General features: G+C 50.5%; 1 pseudogene, besides 6 other annotated features; it reads left to right on the forward strand.

Annotated features, from left to right (window-relative positions):
* Positions 29-530: an enhancer, noted in NCBI's record as "H3K4me1 hESC enhancer chr11:118798447-118798948 (GRCh37/hg19 assembly coordinates)". NCBI's record gives its function as "activates a minimal SCP1, AML or CMV promoter by ChIP-STARR-seq in naive H9 embryonic stem cells {active_cell/tissue: H9 hESC(naive)}" and the evidence as "EXISTENCE:reporter gene assay evidence [ECO:0000049][PMID:30033119]".
* Positions 880-999: an enhancer, noted in NCBI's record as "active region_5611". NCBI's record gives its function as "activates an Ori minimal core promoter by ATAC-STARR-seq in GM12878 lymphoblastoid cells {active_cell/tissue: GM12878}" and the evidence as "EXISTENCE:reporter gene assay evidence [ECO:0000049][PMID:35858748]".
* Positions 1,010-1,289: an enhancer, noted in NCBI's record as "active region_5612". NCBI's record gives its function as "activates an Ori minimal core promoter by ATAC-STARR-seq in GM12878 lymphoblastoid cells {active_cell/tissue: GM12878}" and the evidence as "EXISTENCE:reporter gene assay evidence [ECO:0000049][PMID:35858748]".
* Positions 1,300-1,349: an enhancer, noted in NCBI's record as "active region_5613". NCBI's record gives its function as "activates an Ori minimal core promoter by ATAC-STARR-seq in GM12878 lymphoblastoid cells {active_cell/tissue: GM12878}" and the evidence as "EXISTENCE:reporter gene assay evidence [ECO:0000049][PMID:35858748]".
* On the forward strand, positions 3,507-3,781 carry RN7SL688P (RNA, 7SL, cytoplasmic 688, pseudogene; annotated as a pseudogene).
* Positions 11,925-12,706: an enhancer, noted in NCBI's record as "H3K4me1 hESC enhancer chr11:118810343-118811124 (GRCh37/hg19 assembly coordinates)". NCBI's record gives its function as "activates a minimal SCP1, AML or CMV promoter by ChIP-STARR-seq in naive H9 embryonic stem cells {active_cell/tissue: H9 hESC(naive)}" and the evidence as "EXISTENCE:reporter gene assay evidence [ECO:0000049][PMID:30033119]".
* Positions 12,707-13,486: an enhancer, noted in NCBI's record as "H3K4me1 hESC enhancer chr11:118811125-118811904 (GRCh37/hg19 assembly coordinates)". NCBI's record gives its function as "activates a minimal SCP1, AML or CMV promoter by ChIP-STARR-seq in naive H9 embryonic stem cells {active_cell/tissue: H9 hESC(naive)}" and the evidence as "EXISTENCE:reporter gene assay evidence [ECO:0000049][PMID:30033119]".

A 22,604-nucleotide genomic window follows, 5' to 3' on the forward strand; every position in this document is an offset into this window, starting at 1 on the left:
AAGAAAACCAAAGCCCAGAGAGGCTTCTAATGTGAAAGATCCCAGCACCTAGGCTAGTACCTGACCCATGGAAATAAGGTTTAATTTCTTATCTCCTCTCCAGAAAGACATAATATGGGCCCCCACTTCTCCAACAGGGTGCTTCTTAGAGGGGACCACTGCATTTATGTGGATCAGTCTCCCCTTACATATATGACAAGCCAAAGGGGCTTGTTATGATCTCTTTGGCACAATTCCTGGTTCGTAGTAGGTCCAAAACAGTGTTTGCAGGGGCAAGTGAGTCTGTGTTGCCAGGGGTCTCTTAAATGGTGCACAATACATGTCCTATGGAGCAGCCACGCGGAGCGCTCCCCTGGGTGGGGCTGTGACTCATTCCCCCAGCGGAGGTTCCAGGTTGGGATTCGGAGCTGAGCTCTGGGCAGCCACAAGTTCTGGGTGGAACCCTGGAGAGAGCCAGGAGGAAAGGAGAGAGGCAGGGGGCCCTTGCTGGAATCGAGCGGCTCCCTCTACTGGCCAACTCGGGGAACCTCTGTCTTTCCGTGTATCTGTGTGTCACTGTGTCACGAGGGGTGTCACAGGTGTGTCAGCGTTGGCGTTCGTCGGTGGAAGTGCCCGCATGGGTATGGGTGCGTGAGGGTGCCCGTTCGTGACGCAGTGTGGGTGTGCCAGCGCCACGAGGGGCTGTTTCTGGAAGCACAGTGTGTACACACAACCGTATCTTGTAATACAATTTACTTTGGGGCTGCTGGGGGTCTGAGATTAGGCATCCCGTTGCCGGGGTTACTAGGACAAAAGGATTCTCCAGCTGGTACTCCTCACCGGCTGGAGCACTAGCCCGAGAAGGTGGGAGGAGTCCAGACCAAACAGTTCCTGAAAAGGACTCTATCACCTAAAGCAAATAGGGACCCAAGAAAGAGTTAACGCAGAGCCCCACAGTGACTTCAATCATTGGCTCAGGGCACTGTCAGTCAGAGGTCTGGGGGCGGGGTTTGTGGGGCCTCCATCTGACTGCCCAGCGCCCCTCACTTGCCCCTCGACCCCCACATCATCTCACTGCTGGGCTGCGCCCGCACCCCCATCTTGGTGGCGACACCGTCCTGGGCCCTGGAGGAAGAGCCGATCCGGGCATCCTGGCTTCCCCACTCACTCCAGCTGCCTGGCTTCCTGATAGATGGTGATTATATAATAGACTTGCTGGACAGAACCGTGCCAGCGCTCGGAACACTTTGCCCCCTCCTCGAAGCCTGCCCCAGGGCCTGGCACCTGCCACACAGAGCCTGCTGCCGGGTTCTGCCGGCGCCCCCCAGCAACGCCTCCATTTCGGGGTGGGAGACCCCAGGACAAGGTCCTGGGATGGGGCGGGCGCCAAGCGGAGAGAAGCAGGGCGGGTGCCCCGCGGGTCTCAGGGTCGGCCTGAGGAGTGTGGATTCACAAGCGCCTCTCAGGATAGTGGGACCCGCCTGGCCCCTTCCAACCTGAGCTTGCAACTTGGGAGCCAATAGAGGAGCAGGGGCCAGGGTGGGAACGGGAAGGAGTTTGGAAAAGGTGTGGGGGCAGGAAAGGGAGGCTGAGAGAGGGGGCCGGCTGGGGCAGGGGGGAGGGACTCTTATCCCTCACCACTGCCGCCTTCCCCGACTGGAGGGTTTGGAAAAACTGAGCAGGCAGCAAGGCTTGGCTGGAAATCCTGCAGCCCACCCTCCTGGGGACACAAAGCTGGAGGGCGGGGGCAGGGCGGGGGGAGAGAGCACGACCCCGGGGAGGACAGGGCCTCTTTTGGGGCTGGGGGCCCAGGGGCCGGACCCTGGGGAGGGGGTTCCTGGCGCTGTCTCCCTGCAGTCTGCTTCCCCCTTCTCCTCTACCCCCTCCGCTTCCCCCTCCTCCCCCTCCGCGGCTCCAGTCTTGCAGATTGCGGGCAGACTTAACTCCTTGAGTGCCAGCCTGGTGGACTCGGTGGTGGTGACGCTGTGAGGGAGGGAAGGAGGAGGGACTCCGGACCCCACTCCCACCCACAGTTTAACACCTTGTGCCCCGGAACGCAATCCCGGAACTGGTTGGGTTCCAGTGCCCTGAAAGGCTGCTTGGTTCTGGAGTCGCCACACGCAAAACAAGGCACCTGACGGTTCGGGAATCGCCCGCTCTCTTGCCTAATCTTCCCTGCCTCCCCTCCCCACCGCCGCCTCAGGGACTCTCCCTCCACTTTTTGGCTACCCTTCCCCCACCCCACCCCCATCTCCAAGTTGCAGCCGACAGCCGAGGTCCCTGCCAGATTGAAGCAGGGGAGCCCGGAAGTCTGGGTTTTGTAGCTGCCTCAGCGCTCTCCTCTACATCCCACTTCTGAGGCCCAGCGCAGGTGACCGCAGCCCATGCCTCTCTTGCCCCCAGAGGGGCTGCTTCACCCATCTGGGGGGCTAACTACCCAACGGAGGCAGGGAACGCTAGCCTCCCCTAGCTCCAGCGAGGACTAAGGACCTGAGTAGCTGGAAACCTGACTTCACCTCTACCCTAGCCCCTCCCCTAGCGAACAGCCCCTCCCCCGTCCTCTGTGACCCTCAACTCTGCTGTGGATGACTCTGCCGAGGGAATACCGCAGACTAGGCAGGAAGGGGTTAACGCAGCTACTGCGCTCGAATGGAGCGCCAGGTGAGGCACCACCCATCTTGGCCTTCAGGTGTGTGGGTGGGGAAAGAGGAGGGACACTGACCTTAAGGGCTGCTTTTTTGCCCCCTGGTGGCTAAATCTGGCTTAGCAGCCGCTGGAAAAAATACGCTCACATGGGGATTCGCGGAAGAAGAACACTGGCGACGACAGTAGAGTGTGCCTCTTGCGGGAACAGCACCTTCCTAGGGAAGGAGATCGTTCTGGGAAGGCTGATGGAAGGAGGGAGCTCCCACAGTCCCTGCCACACCATCCCGCTCAGTAGGCTGCCTCAGCCAATTCCAGATCCTTGCCCTAGGGGCTCTACTTGTGGGTCCCAAACACCTGGAGGAGGGTAGGAAAAAAACAGAAGATACAGGCCCTGTCCTCCCAGGGTCTCCATCTAATAGAGAGGGTCTGTAGGAGGAAGTTGCTCCTACCTTTTCCTTCCGTGCCTCAGGCCTTCCCAGAGCACCCATTCCCTCCAGACCCCAGCATCAAATACAAACCAGCCAGGCTTCAAAGCTCCTACCAGCTACCCCAACCCCCTTCAGCTTCTCTCCCCTCCAGCCAAGCTGATTTCTAGGACCCTCCCTGTAAAAAGACTCCACTTGAGGGATTCCAGGTGTTCTTATCCCCAACATGGCTGAGACCCTTCCTCCCATCTACCCAAAGCCCTCCCTGATTAGCAAAGCCAATCATCTTGAAGGGCTCCTTCCCCCCCTCCCCTTCAATTGCCTTACTTTTCTCCCTGTCCTTATTTCCCACTACTTTCCTTTCAAGACTTCTTTTTGCATGGGCAGTTCACCCAATTGGGGACAATTCTGTCCTCCTTGTACCCTGTGATACCTCAATAGTTGCCTTTTCTCCCAGCTCGGTGGCAAGCCCTGTAGTCCCAGCTAGCAGGCAGGAGGATCACTTGACCCCGGGAGTTCTGGGCTGCAATGCATTATGCTGATGGGTGTCCACACCAAGTTCAGCATCGATATGGTGACCTCCTAGGAGTGGGAGACCGCCAGGTTGACTAAGGAAGGGTGAGCTGGCCCAGGTCAGAATGGAACAGATTGAAACTCTGGTGCTGATCATGGTGGGATTGGGCACACAAGCCTGACAACACCAGGACACCCTGTCTCTTTATTTATTTTTTCAAACACCAACTCAAACCAGATGAGACCTTGTCTCTTAAAACAAACAAACAAACAAAAAAAGTCTTTTCCTTCAGGAATCCTTCTCTGACCAACCCCACCTACTTATTCATCCAACAGATATTTATTGAGGACCTGCTATGTGCCTGGCACTTGACTAGACACTAGGTTGGTACATGTTGGTGACATAGATGTTTGTCCTTTTCCTCACACAGCCTGCAGCCTAGTGGGGGTCAGACAACAAGTGAGTGGGTGATTTCAATTCAGTGTGGGCACATTTAGGGGAAGTGGACACCAATCCCAGACTTGAGAGTTTGGGGAAGCTTCCTGCAGGGACCAACTGTCTGAGCTGGAACTTCCAGCATCAGGTATGGTTCTGTCCAGGCAAACAGTACATCTCACTAGAGCTCTAAAGATAGAATAGGAGGCTGGGTGTGGAGGCTCATGCCTGTAATCCCAGCACTTTGAGAGGCTGAGGTGGGTGGATTGCTTGAGTCTGGGAGTTCAAAATCAGCCTGGGCAACATGGCAAAACTCTGTCTCTACTGAAAGTACGAAAAAAAAAAAAATTAGCCAGGCATGGTGGCGCATTCCTGTAGTCCCAGCTACTTGGGAGGCTGAGGTGGGAGAATCACCTGAGTCAGGGGTGGTCGAGGCTGCAGTGAGCCGAGATCGTGCCACTGCACTCCAGCCTGGGCAATTGGAGTTAGACCCTGTCTCAAAAAAAAAAAAAAAATAGCATCCCACCAAAGGCTCTCCACCAGTTGTTATGAGAGGCCTCTAAGGCGGCGTTCCCAAACAATGCTTTTTTTGTTGTTTTTTTCCGAGACAGAGTCTTGCTCTATCGTCCAGGCTGGAGTGCGGTGGCGTGATCTCTGCTCACTGCAACCCCTGCCTCCCAGGTTCAAGCAATTCTCCTGCCTCAGCCTCCCAAGTAGCTGGTAGCTGGTGGCTGGGATTACAGGCATGTGCCACTACGCCTGGCTAATTTTTGTATTACTAGTTGTGATGGGGTTTCACCGTGTTGGCCAGGCTAGTCTCAAACTCTTGACCTTGTGATCTGCCCACCTCAGCCTCCCAAAGTGCTGGGATTACAGGCATGAGCCACCATGCCTGACCCAAACAACCCATTTCTGGTTTTTAGTTTTTTGTTTTTTTTTGAGATGGAGTCTCGCTCTGTCACCCAGGTTGGAGTGCAGTGGCGCGGTCTCGGCTCACTGCAAGTTCCACCTCCTGGGTTCACGCCATTCACCTGCCTCAGCCTCCCGAGTAGCTGGGATTACAAGCGCCCACCACCACGCCTGGCTAACTAATATTTTTTGTATTTTTAGTAGAGACGGGGTTTCACCGTTTTAGGCAGGATGGTCTTGAACTCCTGACCTTGTGATCCGCCCGCCTCGGCCTCCCAAAGTGCTGGGATTACAGGCGTGAGCCACCACGCCCGGCCCCAAACAACCCATTTCTAATTCTCCAAGTCCCAAAAGAACTTTGTTCTGAGAGTCCAAAGTACAAGACCTTGGCCTAGTCACTTCCTGTCTCTGGGTTGCAGCTTCTTCAAGTGTAAAACAAGAGGCTTAGGTGCCTTTATCTTCATGCCCTTCTTTATCCTATAGATAGCGATTAAATAGTTGGCTTGTTGACAGAAAAACCCTCACTTAGCTCTCATCTGCATGGGGCTACCAGAGCTCATAAACCCAGGAGAAGCTGTCATAGGCAGGACCTCAGAGAAAGCCAGTTGGTCAGTCACCTGTGTCTCGCCCACTGCCCCCTTGGTCTGGCAGTTCTGCGTCCTGGGAACATTTCATTCTTGCTGCTAATGGAAGGCAAGAGGCTTTCCGAGATTGTGCTGGAGGGGAGAGCATGCCCACAATATATTTAGTTACTGTATTAATCTGCTCTAATATGTAGCACTATAGGACTGTTATTTTTGAGAGAGGGAATGTTCTCAGGTGAGGAAACTGCTTGGTGAAGGTCCAGAGTGGTGAAAGGACTCGCCTAAAAGCATAGGGTTGGTGCTGATAGCTGGAAGAGCCTCCTGATTCCGTGTCCAGACTCTTTCCACGACACCACGGCAGCACTTGATCCAACTTTCCATTGGACTTCTTCCTGTGTCTGGCTCATTTCCCTGTGAGGCCATACGATCTGGGAAGGCAGGCTCAGCCTCCTTATCTGGACATCCCCCAGAGCCTGGAGGGGTGCTCAGAACCTGCCATCTCCCAGGCCCTCCTTTTCTCTCTCATCATGACCCTGTTTATATTTATGTAGCTCTCTTACTCATTCTAAAAAGCCTTCCCTGGATTGTTGACAAAGCCCTGGGCCAGGCACAGTCCCAATCCCAGCCAGATCTAAAACCTGCTCTGTGACTTAAAACAAACTGATTCACTTCCCTGGGCCTTGTGTTCTCCATCTGTCAAGACCTATAACCTGGCGGGGCACAGTGGCTTACGCCTGTAATCCCAACACTTTGGGAGGCCGAGGTGGGTGGATCACTTGAAGTCAGGAGTTTGAGACCAGCCTGGCCAACATGGTGAAACCCCGTCTCTACTAAAAATACAAATATTAGGCAGGCGCGGTGGCTCATGCCTGTAATCCCAGCACTTTGGGAGGCCAAGGCAGGCAGATCACGAGGTCAGGAGATTGAGACCATTCTGGCCAACATGGCGAAACCCTGTCTCTGCTAAAAATACCAAAAAAAAATTAGTTGGGTGTGGTGATGCACGCCTGTAGTCCTAGCTACTCGGGAGGCTGAGGCAGGAGAATCACCTGAACCCAGGAGGCAGAGGTTGCAGTGAACCAAGATCGTGCCACTGCCCTCCAACCTGGGCTACAGAATGAGACTCCATCTCAAAAATAGGCCAACCTATTCTAACTCCTAAGGCATTTGTAATCTCAGCTCTGAAATCCCAAATCAGGAAGTGTTTTTAAAAGACATAGCTCTGCCGGGCACGGTGGCTCATGCCTGTAATCCCAGCACTTTGGGAGACCTAGGCGGGTAGATCATGAGGTCAGGAGTTTGAGACCAGCCTGGCCATTATGATGAAACCCTGTCTCTACTAAAAATACAAAAATTAGCCAGGCATGGTGGCATGCACCTGGGAGGCTGAGGCAGGAGAATCACCTGAACCTGGGAGGCGGAGGTTACAGTGAGCCAAGATCGCACCATTGCACTCCAGGCTGAGTTACAGAGCGAGACTCTGTCTCAAGAAAAAAAAAAAAAAAGACATAGCTCTGAGATAAGGGAATAAGCCCAATGCTTCTGTCTTCCTGTAGGGTCTCACAACCTCAGGAATACATCTGCTTTATCTGCAGGGACTAGGGTGCTGCTTTTTTTTTTTTTTTTTTCCCCAGAGGTGGTTGTCTCACTATATTGCCCAGCCCCAAGTTCTTATCCTTACTAGTCATTGTACAAATAATACAGGTACCTGCCTTCAAGGGGCTTATAAGATGGGGACAGTGAGAGAACAATAAAAGATGCTGAATAGGCCGGGCGCGGTGGCTCACACCTGTAATCCCAGCACTCTGGGAGCCCTAGGCAGGCAAATCACCTGAGGTCAGGAGTTCAAGGCCAGCCTGGCCAACATGGTGAAACCCCATCTCTACTTAAAATACAAAAAAAATTAGCCTGGCGTGGTGATGCACGTCTGTAATCACAGCTACTTGCGAGGCTGAGGCAGGAGAATCGCTTGAACCAGGGAGGCGAAGATTGCAGTGAGCCGAAATCACGCCACTGCACTCCGGCCTGGGAAACAGAGCAAGACTCCATCTCAAAAAAAAAAAAAAAAAAAAGATGCTGAGTAATTAAATCATATGAAGTTTATGCAGTCAGTGCAAATTGCATCCTCAGGTAGACCTGGTGGAGAAAGAGAAAACTGACCTGGAGCTGGAAAGACAGGCCAGGGACAGAGTCACACAGAGGGCTCGGTGAGGGGCAGGGAAAGAGCAAAAGCAGGATTAATGTCAATAGGAAGGGAGTGAATCTCAAAGACCAACTACCTAGTTCAAGTTCTCTTTTTTTGTTTTTTTGTTTTTTTTTTCTGAAACGGGGTCTCACTTCGTTGCCCAGGCTGGAGTGCGGTTGCCACGGCTCACTGCAGCCTCAGCCTTCCTGGGCTTGGGTGGTCCTCTCACCTCAGCCTCCTGCGTAGCTGGGACTACAGGCACGTACCACAACACCCGCTAATTTTTGTATTTTTTGTAGAGCTGGGGTTTTGCCATGTTGCCCAGGCTTGTCTCTAACTCCTGGGCTCAAGCAACCCTCCCTCCTCAGCCTCCCAAAGTGCTGGGCTTATAGGTGTGAGCCACTGTACCCAGCCTTCAAACTCTTTCTGATGGTTACCTCCCTGCCAACATCTCTGGCCAGCAGTGTATTAGCATCTTCTTCTTTTTTTTTTTTTTTTTTTTCTTGAGATGGAATTTTGCTCTGTCACCAGGCTGGAGTGGGGTGGTCTCAGCTCACTGCAACCTCGACCTCCCAGGTTCAAGCAATTCTCTTGCCTCAGCCTCCCTAGTAGCTGGGACTACAGGCGTGCGCCACCATGCCCAGCTAATTTTTGTATTTTTAGTAGAGACAAGGTGTCACCATGTTGGCCAGGATTGTCTTGATCTCTTGACCTCGTGATCCACCCGCCTGGGCTTCCAAAGTGCTGAGATTACAGGCGAGAGCCACGGCCCCTGTCCATCAGCGTCTTCTTGAACACCTTTAGTAACAGGGAGCTTACTGTTACTCCCAAGACAGCTCACTCCGTTTATGGACATCTGTTTTTCCTTCCTCAAAGCTGAACTTCATCTACCAGTGGTCTCCACGGAACTAAACTTCATTTTGAGATAATCTCTTATCTCCTGGTGGTCCGTGCACTACCTTTTGGGGGTGCACACTGTAAATCTAATTCTTCCTCCCCATGATAGCCCTTCAGGTATTTGAGCTTTAGTGGTCCCTACTCTTTCTTTTTTTTTTTTTTTCTGAGACAGAGTCTTGCTCTTGTTGCCCAGGCTGGAGTGCTGTGGCACAATCTCAGCTCACTGCAATCTCCACTTCCTGGGTTCAAGGGATTCTCCTGCGTCACCCTCCCAAGTAGCTGGGATTACAGGCGCCCGCCACCACGCCCAGCTAATTTTTATATTTATAGTAGAGACAGGGTTTCCGCATGTTGGCCAGGTTGGTCTCAAACTCCTGACCTCACGATCCACTCTTTACTTTTGCCTAAACATTCCCAGGTCACAAAACAATGGCTCCCATCATAACACCTGGCCAACTTACAATAAAGCAAGATTATCTGTCTTCTCCTTTATTCCAAATACCATATCTCCAGTAACGTGACTTAACATTGGATTTGCTCCTGGCAGTCATGTTATGCTGATGTCCCTTTTTCTTTTTTCTTTCTTTTTTTTTTTTTTTTTTGAGACAGAGTTTTGCTCTTGTTCCCCAAGCTGGAGTGCAATGGCGTGACCTCGGCTCCACTGCAAACTCCGCCTCCCAGGTTCAAGTGATTCTCCTGCCTCAGCCTCCCAAGTAGCTGGGATTGCAGGTGCACGCCACCACGCCCGGCTGATTTTTTGTATTTTTAGTGGAAACAGGGTTTCACCATGTTAGCCAGGCTGGTCTCGAACTCCCGATCTCAGGTGATCCGCCCGCCTCAGCCTCCCAAAGTGCTGGGATTACAGGCGTGAGACACCGCGCCCGGCCTGATGTCCCTTTTTCTTTTCTTTTTTTAAGACGGAGTTTCACTCTTGTTGCCCAGGCTGCAGTGCAATGGCGCGGTTGGTCTCAGCTCACCACAACCTCAGCCTCCCGGGTTCAAGCGATTCTCCTGCCTCAGCCTCCCATGTAGCTGGGATTACAGGCGCCTGCCACCATGCTCAGCTAATTTTTATATTTTTAGTAGAGACGGGGTTTCACTATGTTGGCCAGGCTGGTCTGGAACTCCTGACCTCAAGTCATCTGCCCGCCTCAGCTTCCCAAAGTGCTGGGATTACGGATGTGAGCCACCGCACCCAGCTTGATGTCCCTTTTTCTTTCTCCCTATCCCCTCTGCCCCACCAGTGCTGATGTCTTAGACTGAACTTACTAAAACCCCGGATTCTTTTTCACCTGAACTTCTTCTAAGCCATGTCTGGCCCACTGTGTATTGCTGAGGTCTTACATAGATCTCTGATCACTTTATTCTGTTAGGTTTACCTAACCATTCTATACATGGAGATGATTCTTGGATCCTTATCTTTCAATGTTTACTATCCCTCAAGGGTTATATCTGTGAAATGTGATACTATATTTTCATATAAGCTGTTAATAAAAATATTTAACAGGAAAGAGATGGAGACAAAACCCTAAAGTATGCAAATGTTCTTCCGCTTGGTACCAATCCATGTCACACTGAGAAGTAGCAAGAATAAATGGTTTTGTAGGTGGGATGGAGTCAGATCAAAATGAGCCTCAAAAGAAGAAAATAGAAAGGCTCAGAAGGTTTTTGAGTGAAGAGTGATACAAGGAACAATCTGGTATAGCAAAAAAACAAAACACTAACCCTGGAACTCAACAGATCTGGATCTGATCTACAATTCCAGGTCTATTGCTTATTAGCTGTAGAACTTTGGGCAAATTAACCGCTCTGAGCATCTGTTTCTTCTCCTGTAAAATGCGATAACAACTACCTTAGGATTTATTGTGAAGATTAAAAGAGATAGCATATATGACAAGCCTAGTACATAACAGGTGCTCAATAAATGAAGAAGAAAAATGGGAGGGTGAGGAGGAGGAGAAGAAAGTCATGCTCAGGACAGGCCCAGGTCTAGTAGTGTCTCACTCTATTGCCCAGGCTAGAGTGCAGTGGCACGATCTCGGCTCACTGGAACCTCCACCTCCCGGGTTCAAGTGATTCTCCTGCCTCAGCCTCCTGAATAGCAGGGATTACAGGCATGTGCCACCATGTCCAGGTAATTTTGTATTTTTAGTGGGGGTTTCACCATGTTGGCCAGGCTGGTCTTGAACTCCTGACCTCAAGTCATCCACCCGCCTTGGCCTCCCAAAGTGCTAGAATTACAGGCATGAGCCATGGCACCTGGCCAGGTCTGGTTTCTGAAGAGGGACTACACTTGTGGTAAACCCAAGTGGAAAGTCCACCTCTGAGGCTACTGTGAGGGCCTGAGATGACTCACTGGGGCTGGGGCTTGGTCTAGGATAATATGTATGGAATGGCAAAGGGAAGGAAGCAGATCTGAATGACATTTCCAAAGGAGAATTGATCCACCTTGGACTCAAGTGAGGTGTGGAGGATGACAGAGAGAGGAGTCACACGTAGCACCAAGGTTTTTACTCTGGGTAGTGACAGGGAAGTACGAAGGGGGTGATGGCTTGGGGAAGATGGTTCATGGTTAGTCACTGCATTAGGCATGGCAGTAGGATACCAAGTGGACATGACCAGTGAGGAGGTGAAGCGATTCGATTAGAACTTCAGAGAAAGAGAAGTCAGAGCCAAAGTTATGTTCCTGGGAAGCACCGCATGCCAGTGGTAGCTGCAGGCATTGGGTGAGGTTTCTGAGGGTGAGCTGGGAAGCGAACCAAGGACAGGACCCTGTAGGACACATCCGGAGCCATGACTTAGGGCTGGAGAAGAAACTGCCCCACACTGCTTTCCCTCCCCACCATTCTCTGCCTCCTGGTCAGAGTTGCAAAGATCAACCCAAGCTGACACCCACCCACCCACTGCATCACTGCAGACAGAAATCTGTGCAGAGCCCACTGGAATCGAAACCCTCCAGGACTCTGCTTTTCTGTCCTGATATCAGAAAGGACACAAGTTCTTGTCTAATCAACAGACCCCAGCTTGTTGCTGCAATCGTGCACTTGAAAAGGGAGAGGCAGGAGGGATGCCACAGAGAGAGATGTGGACAGAGGCAGGCAGGGACACCTTCGTGAAGAGCAGGAGAGAAACAGAAGCTGAGGGACAAAGGGGAGGGGAGCGCTGTGAGTACCTCAAAAGGCCGACTGACAGAGGAGGAGAAAAAGAGACTTAAGGAGGGGGCAGGAGAAAAGATTCGCTGGGAAGCTGATGAAGTGCAACTGAGAAAACTGTTGCCATGGTGATGGGTCCAGAGGAGGGAGTAGGAATATAAATCGGATTATGAGTTGGGGGAGTCTGTATGTGCCGAGGGTGTTCAAAACCCAGATGCTGTCCCCCCAACACCAGGCCCTCCCCACGAGATCTTCCACTGCGAGAAGCCTTTCCCAGAGGTCCTCCCCAGGCCAGGCCAAGGAATGCAGTGAGCAGAGGCACTGGAGTGGCCCAGGGCTCAGCATTCCCTCCCCTCCTCCCCCAAAGGCCCCTCAGTGATACAAAAGAGCCCTGCACCCCCACACCAGGTGCCCCTAGCCTCTTGGAGAGTCCTCTGCACAGACCCTCTTCATCAGCATCCCGAGGAGGAGAGGAGGATGTTGTTTTAAGCACCTACTTGCTATGTGGCAAGCAGCGTGTTGGGCACTTCATTCCTTGTTCATTTGGTCCCCACCAGGGCTCTGTGGGGTGGTATTACCACCTCCATTCATAGACAGGAAGCGGGTCCAGGACACAAGCTGGAAGGCCGCAGGCAGAGGGCATGTAATCCTGGCCCATCCGCTCCAAAGCCCATTCTTTTTCTCCTAGCCCTGGCCTGCCTCACATGGCCTGCTTCCCATCCCCTGCTGCCATCTCCTGCACCCTTAGGGCACAGTGGGCATCTCGGGAGCTGCTCAGCGGACAGACTAGGGTGAGGCTCTAACTCCATTCTTGGAGATGAAGGGAACTGGGGAGGCTTGAGGCAAATATGCCACAGCCAGCGAGACTCCAGGCTGGGGAGGAGGTGCAGGGCAGCGCTGAGCTCAGGGCTGGGGAAATGGGGAGGAAGGGCTGAGGTAGAGAGGCCCCGGGGGGTGGGGGGAAGCTCCAAGGCCCAGCCATTTCCGGCAGAGCAGAAACTCCCAGCATGGGCCACGTGGGGAGCTGGGGAAGCTGCAAGTCTCGGAGTGGTGAGGGAGAGCGCTGGGGGTGGGCATTTCCCTGCAGGTCCCTGCAAGTGGAAGTGGCTGGAGGGAGGAAAGAGAGGGGAGCAGTTTCCCTCCTTCGTCTTCCCTCAGGTTTCTGTACAAGTAACAGTTTTGCAAAGGGCACCAGTATCTGATGTGCATATCAAACAGGGCCTGGGGAGGCGGGAGAAGGCCAAGCTCAGGGCTGCGGCCTGGGCAGCTGTGCCAAGACCACCCCCCAACCCCAGGAGGATGGGATAGGATTCCAAAGCATTCCCACCCCTTCCCATCATACCTGGCTGTTCCTTCTGGTGACCATGAAACATCCCCCACTGTTCTCTCAGGGGACCAGCCTGAGCCACACCCCAACTTGGAAGTCCCTGTTGGGGTGGGTGGGGGGTCAGAAATGCCTGGACTCCAAGAGGGGTTAAAGGTCACAATTCTGTTGGGTCCCTTGGCCACTGGGCTGGAGAGGCCAGGTCTCTGCCCCACCTCTCCAAAGGAGGATAGGGCTCCTTCCTCCGAAGGCCTGGAGGGAAGGGCGTCCCAGGATCGGCTTGCTTTGGTGCTTCATTCATACATTCTCCTCCACCCTCCACCCTCCACCAGCATCCCAGGGAGGCCCTCCTAACCCTATTTCCCTGTGCCCATCAGAGGTTCTTTCAGACAACTAAGAAGGGGGCCCAGCAGGAGCCAAAAAGATCTAAGGAAGTGCATGGGGTGGCGGGGTCGGGGGGTTGGATCCTTCTCTTTCCTCCTCCTGCCCTCCCGAGGCCCTCTGGTCTCTTACCCTTTCACTGAGTCCTAGAACCTCCACACAGCCATTTAGTCCTTCAGCATCCTCTTGCCCAGCTTAGTCCCTCTGATTCGCATGCCCTCCAGTTTGAAGAGATTTCCAGTGACTCCTCCGACTTGCCAAATCCAAGGAGCACATTTCAGCACATCTCTTCGGTTCCCTGTGGTCCTGATGCTGCTCGCTGTGCCTCCCACAAGCATCTTCCTTGGGCACCTGGGATACTGCTCCCTCCTGGCTATTCTTTTTCCTTTTAGGGAAGTTTCTCGGTTTCCTTTGCAGTCTCCTCTTTTCCTTTGCCCATAAATGTTGGGGCTCCCCAGGCTCTGTCCTTCACCTTGTCTTCTCACTCAGCATCCACTTGCTCCTCTCCAAGGCTTCAGCTGTTGCGCCTGTGCTGACCTTTCCTGTGCTCCAGACCACACATCCAGCCACCCTCAACATACCTCCATCCGGGTGTCCTTCAGGCACGTAAATTGGCAAGTTCAAGACCCAAATATCTCCACCCAGCCCCTCGCCACAGCCTGCCCCTCCCACCCCCCACTGTGTTCTCTAGCCCCTGACGGTTCTGTCATCCACCCTGCTGCCCAAACCAGGACCTGGGAGCATCCTCCTTAACTCTGCTCCCCAAACCGCACACAACTGTCCCTGTCAAACCATCACTAGACCCTGTCAATTTTGCCCTCTGCCTAGAGCAGTAGCCTATGCCTATAATCTCAGCACTTTGGAAGGCTGAGGCGGAAGGATCTCTTGAGCTCAGGAGTTCAATACCAGCCTGGGAAGCACATTGACACCCCATCTGTACAAATAAAAAGTTTAAAAAAATAGCAGGGCGCGGTGGCTCATGCCTGTAATCCCAGCACTTTGGGAGGCGAATGCAGGTGGATCACGAGGTCAGGAGTTCAAGACCAGCCTGGCCAACATGGTGAAACCCTGTCTCTACTAAAAAAAAAAAAAAAAAATTAGCTGGGTATGGTGGTGTGTGCCTGTAGTCCCAGCTACTTGGGAGGCTGAGGCAGGAGAATTGCTTGAACCTGGGAGGTGGAGGTTGCAGTGAGCTGAGATCATGCCACTGCACTGTAGCCTGGGCGACAAAGCAAGACTCTGTCTCAAAAAAATAAAAAAATTTTAAAAATTAGCCAGGCATGATGGTGCACATCTATAGTCCCAGCTAACTTGGGAGGCTGACACAGGAGGGTCACTTGAGCCCAAGCTTGAGCTGCAGTGAGCTATGATCATGTCACTAAACTCCATTGTGGGCAACAGTAGAAGACCCTTTCTCAAAAAAAAAAAAAAGCCCTCTCCCCAAATCTCCTCTTCTATCGTTTCTTGCCTAGGATCTGATTTCTTTTTGTTTGTTTTTTTTTTTTTTTGGAGGCAAAGTCTCACTCTGTCACCCTGGCTGCAGGGACATGATGCAGCCTCCGCCTCCCAGGTCCAAGAAATTCTCCTGGCTCAGCTTCCCGAGTAGCTGGGATTACCGGCAGGTGCCACCATGCCTGGCTAACGTTCGTTATTTTTAGTAGAGACGGTTTTGCCATATTGGCCAGGCTGGTCTCAAACTCTTGACCTCAAGGGATCCGCCCAAAGTGCTGGGATTACAGGCACGAGCCACCACGCCAGCCTAGAATCTGATTTTTTTTTTTTTTTTTTTGAGATGGAGTCTCGCTCTGTCGCCCAGGCTGTAGTGCAATGGCGCAATCTCCACTCACTGCAACCTCTGTCTCCCAGGTTCAAGCAATTCTCCTGCCTCAGTCTCCCAAGTAGCTGGGATTACAGGTGCGCACCACCACGCCCAGCTAATTTTTAAAATTTTTTAGTAGAGATGGGATTTCACTATGTTGGTCAGGCTGGTCTCGAACTCCTGACCTCGTGGTCCACCCGCCTCAGCCTCCCAAAGTGCTGGGATTACAGGCGTGAGCCACCGTGCCTGGCCTTAGAATCTGATTTTAACAGCCTTTAAAATGTCTCCCAGCTATCCATCCAACACAATCTCTACATTGCAGCAAGAGCCATCTGTATTCAATACAATGTGATCAGCACACTCTCCAGTTTAAAACCCTTCAAGGGCTTCCTTTTATCCTTAGGATCAAAATTAAAATTCCTTAAAGGGACTGTAAAAGCCTTCCATCTTTTCCCAGCTACTTCTCCAGTGACTTCCCCAAATTCTACTCTGACCCTCCAGCAGACCCATTCTCTGACCTTGTGCCTTTGCAGGTCTCTCAGCCTAGAACAGTCTTCCCTCTTTCTCCCCTCTCTTCACCTTCCTAACTCGGACTTAAATTTTAGGTCTCCACTTAGTTACCACTTCCTCCAGGTAGCTCTTCCACACTACTCAAGCTCGTGTAAGTTGCCCTTTAGTGAGAAGCCTCTCTTTTTTTTTTTTTTTTTTTTTTTTTTTTTGAGGCAGAGTCTCGCTCTGTCGCCCACGCTGGAGTGCGGTGGCGCAATCTCGGCTCACTGCAAGCTCCACCTCCCAGGTTCACGCCATTCTCCTGCCTCAGCCTCCCGAGTAGCGTGGGACTACAGGCACCCGCCACCACGGCCGGCTAATTTTTTGCATTTTTAGTAGAGACAGGGTTTCACCGTGTTATCCAGGATGGTCTTGATCTCCTGACCTCATGATCCGCCCGCCTCGGCCTCCCAAAGTGCTGGGATTACAGGCGTGAGCCACCGCGCCTGGCCTGGTGAGAAGCCTCTTTAGCAAGTTATTTAACTTCTTTGTGCCTTAACTTCCTCATTAATAAAATGAGGATAATAACATTGCCTGCCTCACAGAGGTTGTTATAAGGATTAAGCAAGAAAATATATGTAAAGGGGCCAGGCGCAGTGGCTCACACCTATAATCCCAGCACCTTGACCTCCTGGCCTCCAGGAATCCTCCCGCCTCAGCCTTCCAAGTAGCTGGGACTACAGACGCATGCCATCACACCCAACTAATTTTTTTCCTTTTTTTTTTTTTTTTTTGAGGCAGAGTCTCGCTGTGTCGCCCAGGCTGGAGTGCAGTGGTACTGTCTCCACTCACTGCAACCTCCGCCTCCTGGGTTCAAGCAATTTTCCTGCCTCAGCCCCCTGAGTAGCTGAGATTACAGGTGCCCACCACCACGCCTGGCTAATTTTTGTATTTTTAGTAGAGACGGGGTTTCTACTGCTACTGTTTTGTTTTGTTTTTTTAGAGGGAGTCTCGCTCTGTCACCAGGCTGGAGTGCAGTGGCGCAATCTCAGCTCACTGCAACCTCCGCCTCCCAGGTTCAAGAGATCATCCTCCTGCCTCAGCCTCCTGAGTAACTGGGACTACAGGTGCATGCCACCATGCCCAGCTAATTTTTTTGTATTTTTAGTAGAGACAGAGTTTCACCATGTTGGCCAGGATGGTCTCAATCTTTTGACCTCGTGATCTGCCTGCCTCAACCTCCCAAAGTGCTGGGATTACAGGCGTGAGCCACCGCGCCCGGCCAGGAATTTTTTTTTTTTCCTGAGATAGAGTCGTTGCTCTGTCACCTAGGCTGGAGTACAGTGGCCCGATCTCAGCTCACTGCAACCTCCACCTCCCAGGTTCAAGTGATTCTTATGTCTCAGCCTCCCAAGTAGCTGGGATTACAGGCGCATGCCGCCACACCCGGCTAATTTTTGTATTTTTAGTAGAGACAGGTTTTCACCATGTTGGCCATGGCTGGTCTTGAACTCCTGATCTCAGGTGATCCGCCTGCCTCGGCCACCCAAAGTGCTGGGATTACATGCGTAAGCCACTGCACCTGTCTGAAACAAGGAATTTTGCCAGCAGACTGCCTTTGGACTTAAACTGCAACTCTTTTCTGAGTCTCTAGCCTGCTGCCCTCCCCATCACATTTTTGGACTTGCCAAGCCTCCACAATCATGTGAGCTAATTCCTTAAAATCTCTCTCTCTCTGTTTCTCTCTCTCTCTCCATATATATGTATACACACACACAAACACACACACACACACACACACACATCCTGTTTGCTCTGTTTCTCTGGGGAACCCTAATACAGTTGGTGCCCCAGTAGTCCCCAAGCTCAGCTGGGCCATCACCATCAAATACAGCCTTCCTCAAGGCTATTTGTAGCTGCATCCCCTCCTAACAACAACTATTTCAAGCTCTTGCTCCTCTCTGGCCTCCAAACCCTTCTCCCTACTGAGCTTCCTATTTCTCAGAGAAAGCAGAGGCCTCCAGAAGGGAGCTCCTTTATTTCTCCCATCTTCCTGACTTTTCCACCCCAGCCCCCCAAAAAGCATAGCATTTTTCTGCATCATTGCCCCCATTCTTCTCTCTGCTTGGAAATGTCACCGTTTTGGCCAAAGGCTAACCTGAACCCCAATTTCTTCCTCTTTCAGAAGTCTCTCAGTGAATTTTACTCATCTCTCTCCTGCATCTTTAACTTTAAAAATAAAACACGCAGTGGTGTGCCAGTAGTCCCAGACATTTGGACGGCTAGGGCAGGAGGATCACTTGAGCCTAGGAGTTTGAGTCCAGCCTGGGCAACATAGTGAGACTCCCATCTCTAAAAAACAGAACAAAACCCAGGAAATCAATAGAGAAAATCAATGAAAATAAAATCTGGAAAAGAGTTATAAAATATATATATTTTTAAAAAGATAAGCCTTTCCTGTATTCCAATTTCCCCTCAAGTTATCCGTCTCTTTCCTTTCCTAGGCAAGCTTCTTCAAAGAGCTGTCTACACTAACTCTAGTGCCTCAACTCCCAGTTACCTCTGCACTCTTACAGGCAGCTTCTGCCTCCTCACCCGTAAGCAGCTGCTCTATATGCATAACCCCCAAGATACTAGGCCCAGCGGACATTTTAATAGTTCTTACCTTCAATCCTGATCTTCATACTATTTGACACCTCTTTTTTGAAACTCTCCATCCACTCCCTCCTGATTTTCCTCTTATCTTTTTCTTTTTCGTTTTTGGAGACAGGGTCTCTTTCTGTCATCCAGGTTGGAGTGTGATGGCATGATCAGAGCTCACCGCAGCCTTGAACTCCTGGGCTCAAGTGCTCCTCCTGCCTCAGTCTCCTGAGAAGCTGGGAGTACAGACCTGTGCCACTACATCTGGCTACCTCATAATTTTCATTCCTCCTTCATCAGCTCCTCTTGCTGTATCTGTCCTTTAAATGCTTTATTTCCCAGAATTCTGTCCTTGGCTGCCTTCTCCCACTCTCCTTCCACTGCTCCCCTCAAGGACTCTCTTCCACAGGCATGATTTTAACCAGTGCCACCTCCCCTGTCTGCATCCCACACCTCTCCTCCATGTTCCAGAATCCTATGCTCAATGTTGAGTTGCCCAAGATATTTGTATTCATTATTTTTTACTGTATAGTAAATTATCCCCCAAATCTAGTGGCTTATAAAAATAAACATTTGGCCAGGTGCGGTGGCTCATGCCTGTAATCCCAGCACTTTGGGAGGCTGAGGCAGACAGATCACTTGAGGTCAGGAGTTTGAGACCAGCCTGACCAACATGGTGAAACCTGTCTCTATCAAAAACACAAAATTAGCCAGGTGTGTTGGTGGGTGCCTGTAATCCCAGCTACTTGGGAGGCTGAGGCAGGAGAATCACTTGAACCCAGGAGGTGGAGGTTGCAGTGAGCCAAGACTATACCACTGCACTCCAGCCTGGGCAACAGAGCGAGATTCTGTCTCAAAAAAAAAAAAAAAGAATTTATCCTGAGAGTCAGGAGTTTGGGAGAGACCTACCTGGGTGGTTTGGGCTCAGAGTGTTTTGGGAAGCTGCAGTGAAGATATCAACCTGGGCCACAGTCATCTGAAGACTTGACTGGGCTGAAGGAATCGGTCTCCAATCTTGCTCATTCCCATACCTACTGCCTGGAAGTCTCACAACCTCATAGGTCTTTGGCAGGAGGTCTCAGTCCCTTGCCACACAGACCTCCCCACAGAGGAGCTCCAACATCCTCCAGAGTGAGCACCCCAAGAGAGGATGAGGAGGAAGGCACCCTACCTAGCCTCAGAAGTGATGTGTCATCACTTCTGTTGTATTTATTGGCCACACAAACCAATCCTGATGTGATGTGGGAGGGAACCATATGAGGACACGAATACAAGGAAGCAGGGATCATTCAGAGCCATGTGGGAAGCTGGCAGCCACAATACCTCAGACTTATCAGATCCACAAGTGAACTTTATTTTTTTTCTTTTTCTTTTTATTTATTATTATTATTATTATTATTATTTTGAGATGGAGTCTCGCTTCTTTGCCCAGGCTGGAGTGCAGTGGCGCGATCTCTGCTCACTGCAACCTCCGCCTCCCAGGTTCAAGCAATTCTCCTGCCTCAGCCTCTCAAGTAGCTGGGATTACAGGCACGTGCCAGCATGCCTGGCTAATTTTTGTATTTTTAGTAGAGACGAGGTTTCACCATCTTGGTCAGGCTGGTCTGGAACTCCTGACCTCAAGTGATCCACCCGCCTCTGCCTCCCAAAGTGCTGGGATTACAGGTGTGAGCCACTGTGCCCAGCCCACAAATGAACTTCCTTCTCCCCAGTCCTCCCTTCAAATCTGCTCCAAGCCATACATCTGGAAATTGTTCTTGATTCTTCCATCCTAAAATTACTCTGCAGTCAGTCACTGATTCCAGTCAATCTTTCCCTAAAATCACTGCAGTCTGTCTGCTTCTCTCCACTCCCATGTTCATTGCTTGGCCATGAACTTTTTCACCTGGATCATTTTGTTTCTCACTTAGTTTCCCTGCTTTATGTCTTACCTGCTGCCAATCCATTCTCCACACTGTTGCCAGAATGATCTTTACACATTTTAAACTCCTCTAAGGCTTGCTAAGAAACACGCTCCTTAGCGTGGGATACAAAGCCAGTGGCTGTAGCTCCCACCATGCCCATCTTTGAATACTTCTCTCCAGCCAAGATGTATTGTTTGCAGTTCCCAGAGGGTGTCAGCATAATTCACATCCCTAAGCTTTTTCATAGGCCGCTCCCTCTTTTTGGAATATGCCCTTCCACTTATCTCAACCAGGCTAACTCTGATTCATTCTTCAAAGCCCAGCAAGTTTTGAGAGCAGAAACTGTGTCTTGTCCTCTCTGTATCTCAGACCCTAATACAGTACCCACCATAGAGGAATTGCTCAACAAATGTGTGATGAGTGAACAAATGACCGGGCAGTTCTTGTGTGCCTGGCACCCCTGTGGCATGCTTGGCACACAGGAAGAGCAGGTCCACAGCTCAGTCACTTTCCCCCTCGGACTACCTTTCCCTGTCCAAATAGCTCCCTCTGCATCAGTAACACAGCTGGAAAAACAAATTGTGAATCATATCCAACTTCATTCCCTGTGACCTTGGGAAAGTCATTTATTGTCTCTAGTCTTCTTCTGCAATGAAGGTTAATAAAAAGATAAAGTGAATTACTTACATTAATGTTTATTGAGCCAGATACTGTGCTAGGCACTCATAAATAAATTCGCTTGAGGGGCCGGGCACATTGGCTCATGCCTGTAATCCCAGTACTTTGGGAGGCTGAGGCAGGCAGATCACTTGAGGCCAGGAGTTCAAAACCAGCCTGGCCAACGTGGCAAAACCCTGTCTCTACTAAAAATACAAAAAACTAGCTGGGCGTGGTGGCATGTGCCTGTAATCCCAGATACTCAAGAGGCTGAGGTGGGAGAATTCCTTGAACCTGGGAGGCAGAGGCTGCAGTGAGCCGAGTCATGCCAGTGCATTCCAGCCTGGGCGTCAGAGCCAAAATCCATTTCCAAAAAAAAAAAAAAAAAAATTGCCTTAGGGAGAGTCACAATATCCAAACGAGACAGGTTTTTAAATTTTATTTATTTAATTTTATTATTATACTTTAAGTTCTAGGGTAGTTGTGCACAACGTGCAGGTTTATTACATACGTATACATGTGCCATGTTGGTTTGCTGCACCCATTAACTCATTAGGTTCATTTACATTAGGTATTTCTCCTAATGCTATCCCTCCCCCTGCCCCCTACCCCATGACAGGCCCTTATATGTGATGTTCCCTGCCCTGTGTCCAAGTGTTCTCATTGTTCAATTCCCACCTATGAGTGAGAACATGTGGTGTTTGGTTTTCTGTCCTTGTGATAGTTTGCTCAGAATGATGGTTTCCAGCTTCATCCATGTCCCTGCAAAGGATGTGAACTCATCCTTTTTTATGGCTGCATAGTATTCCATAGTGTATATGTGCCACATTTTCTTAATCCAGTCTATAATTGATGGACATTTGGGTTGGTTCCAAGTTTTTGCTATTATGAATAGTGCTGCAATAAACATATGTGTGCATGTGTCTTTATAGTAGCATGATTTATAATCCTTTCGGTATATACCCAGTAATGGGATCGCTGGGTCAAATGGTATTTCTAGTTCTAGATCCTTGAGGAATCGCCACACTGTCTTCCACAATGGTTGAACTAGTTTACACTCCCACCAACAATGTAAAAGTGTTCCTATTTCTCCACATCCCCTCCAGCATCTGTTGTTTCCTGACTTTTTAATGACCGCCATTCTAACTGGTGTGAGATGGTATCTCATTGTGGTTTTGATTTGCATTTCTCTGATAGCCAGTGATGATGAGCATTTTTCATGTCTGTTGGCTGCATAAATGTCTTCTTTTGAGAAGTGTCTGTTCATATCCTTTGCCCACTTTTTGATGGGGTTTTTTTCTTGTAAATTTGTTTAAGTTCTTTGTAGATTCTGGATATTAGCCCTTTGTCAGATGGGTAGATTGCAAAAATTTTCTCCCATTCTGTAGGTTGCCTGTTCACTCTGATGGTAGCTTCTTTGCTGTGCAGAAGCTCTTTAGTTTAATTAGATCCCATTTGTCTATTTTGGCTTTTGTTGCCATTGCTTTTGATGTTTTAGTCATGAAGTCCTTGCCCATGCCTATGTCCTGAATGGTATTGTCTAGGTTTTCTTCTAGGGTTTTTATAGTTTTAGATCTAACATTTATGTCTTTAATCCATCTTGAATTAATTTTTGTATAAGGTGTAAGGAAGGGATCCAGTTTCCGCTTTCTACATATGGCTAG

The sequence above is a fragment of the Homo sapiens genome, chromosome 11 (assembly GCF_000001405.40).
Source record: "Homo sapiens chromosome 11, GRCh38.p14 Primary Assembly".
Classification (NCBI taxonomy): Eukaryota; Metazoa; Chordata; class Mammalia; order Primates; family Hominidae; genus Homo; species Homo sapiens.